This window comes from Homo sapiens, chromosome 18, assembly GCF_000001405.40.
Source record: "Homo sapiens chromosome 18, GRCh38.p14 Primary Assembly".
In the NCBI taxonomy this organism is placed as follows: Eukaryota; Metazoa; Chordata; class Mammalia; order Primates; family Hominidae; genus Homo; species Homo sapiens.
Window position 1 is genome coordinate 49,756,428 of NC_000018.10, and position 2,373 is coordinate 49,758,800.

The following is a 2,373-nucleotide window of genomic DNA, read 5'->3' on the forward strand; positions in this document are numbered from 1 at the left end:
CAAACTGGTGGAAAAGCAAGGGAGACAGCCCACGAGTGAGTCCTGGGGCTGCGTTGAGAGAAACCAGAGAGCCTTTGCAAGGAGAAAGTATCAGCTAAATAATGGCATTAATTCACCTTCTCTGCCCAGTGCCCTCTAGGCCACAAGATAGCGTTTAGGGAGCATTTTCCAAGACAGTCCACTGACTTCATGGGGAATGAATGGCTCCCATCAACTGCATTTAGCTCCTGGGTCTGCAGGAGCTCAGAACACTCAGAAGGTTTCATGGCCTGGAATGTACCTTCCTGACAAATACTAGGTAACTGCAGCTGGGGGTGAGACACGGGGAACAAGGCAGTGGCAGGTGTGCATCTGTGCACGCTCACCACCTCCTCAGAGCCCTCCCGGTCTTTATGGTCTGCCCAATCCTCACCAATGTGGTGGAGAGGGAAGGTACCCAAGGCCACTGTGACTGTGTCTAGAGTCACCCTTGCCAGGCCCTGTCCACTTTACCAGGAGTCATGGGTGGCTTGATTTAGAATTCACATCTTCCTGCCTCTCCCCCTACTACGAGTTTTTTCTTGAATTTGCAAGGATGGATTAATTCTCTAGGAGCATCTTGGGCCTCCTTGCCTGCATTATATTTTATGATGTTTAATCTAGTGAAATGGGATTAAAATAGTGTGACCCTACACCCCGACTTGCCTGAGACGGGCCTACCTTATGCCTGTTGTCCTGGCTTAATTATTAATAGTTCCCCTTTGACTCTCAAAAGTATCCAGCTTGAGCAATAACCGATAGGGTCACCCTGGCTCAAAGAATTATCAAAAACTGCCTAAAAGAGGAACAAAGTCAGCTTGGGTGTTCTGGGTGGAGGGAGCTTTGTCCTAAACTGGGCCTTGGTCTGGCGGATGGGCCAGGCTGAGGTCTCTGGGCCTCCTGTCCTTCGTGGCAAGAGCTGGGCCCTCTTCTGGATCCTGACCTTGCCACCTCCCAGAGCCCCTGCTGCCCACCTGGTCTCTTGTCACAGAGCAGCTCTGACCCTCTGTCCCCTCTGACTTTGAATGCACTGCAGTCTGTGTGAGGGCACAGGCCGGAAAGACCCCACCCACTCCTAGAAACAATGTCTTCCTTTCTGAGCCCTTCGCCTCTTCGGCATCTCCTGGGATCATTTTCTCCTCCATCTTGTCTCCCTTCTGTCCTGAATTGCGGAAAGGATGAGATCAAGAATTTGGCGACCAAACCGAGCCAGTGTGCGACAGCCAATGTGTGGCTCTGGATGAGCAGGACGGAGGGAAGGGAAGATAAACGTGAGAGCCAGGGCAGACTTGGAGACCCTCTTGGGCCCCATTGCAGATGAGGGGGTGAGGTCAAGAGGTCACTGACCATTCACCGTCCCACTGTCCAGCATCCACTGCGGGCCGGGTGCTTTTCTCAGTGTGGAGGTAGAGTGGTGATAAAGACGCTTGCCTCTGCCCTCAGAGCAAAACCAAGTGGAAGCAAACTGAGAGGAAAGACGGCATTCAGAATAAAGGCCATAGAGACCGTGATGCCATAGAGCGGTTGGTGGCGGGCCAGTGAGTCAAGGGCGAGTCTCTCTGTGAAGATGACATTTGGGCAGAGACATGAATGAGGAGACAGAGTTGGGGAGGATGCCAGGCAGGGCAGAAGCCTGGCAGGGGCCGGGGGTAAGAGCTGGGGTTTGCTGAGCAGCTGAGGGCAGCAGGTGGGGCGGGGCCGGCAGGGATGGGTGGGGCTTTCTCAAGTGGGCGGGGATGTGGGTGGGGCACCTCGGGATGGGCGGGGAGGTGGGAGGGGCTGGAGCAGGCAGAGCAGATGAAGCCAGAAGGACTGGGAATGTTTCTCCAAATGCAATGGAAAGCCACTGTAGAATTTTAAGCAGGGGGTTGACTTGAGGTGGCCGTTGTGTTAAGAACAGGCTCCAGGGTGGCAGGAGTGGAAGTCAGAAGACCACTGGGAGGCTGTGGCAGTGCCCAGGTGGCCTGGACTAGGGCGTCAGTGTCAGGGAGTGAAGGAGTCGGCCTGGGATGTGTTGTGGGGATGCTGCCAACAGGAATTGCAGGGTGATGGGCTGGGGCAAAAAGAGTAAGAGGAATCCAGCCAGGGTCCTGTGTCCGCCTGGCAAATTTACTCCATTGAGCAAAGCCAGACACACAATCACACCCAGCCATATTTTCGTTAGTGCTATTTGCTTTTTGTTTTTGTTTTGTTTGTTTGTTTTTTGAGATGGAGTCTCGCTCTGTAGCCCAGGCTGGAGGGCAGTGGCACGATCTCGGCTCACTGCAAGCTCTGCCTCCCAGGTTCATGCCATTCTCCTGCCTCAGCCTCCCGAGTAGCTGGGACTACAGGCATCCTCCACCAAGCCCGGCTAAG

At 54.2% G+C, this 2,373-nt stretch overlaps 1 annotated feature.

The window, feature by feature from the left end:
• Window positions 857-1,806: an enhancer, noted in NCBI's record as "H3K4me1 hESC enhancer chr18:47283654-47284603 (GRCh37/hg19 assembly coordinates)". NCBI's record gives its function as "activates a minimal SCP1, AML or CMV promoter by ChIP-STARR-seq in naive H9 embryonic stem cells {active_cell/tissue: H9 hESC(naive)}" and the evidence as "EXISTENCE:reporter gene assay evidence [ECO:0000049][PMID:30033119]".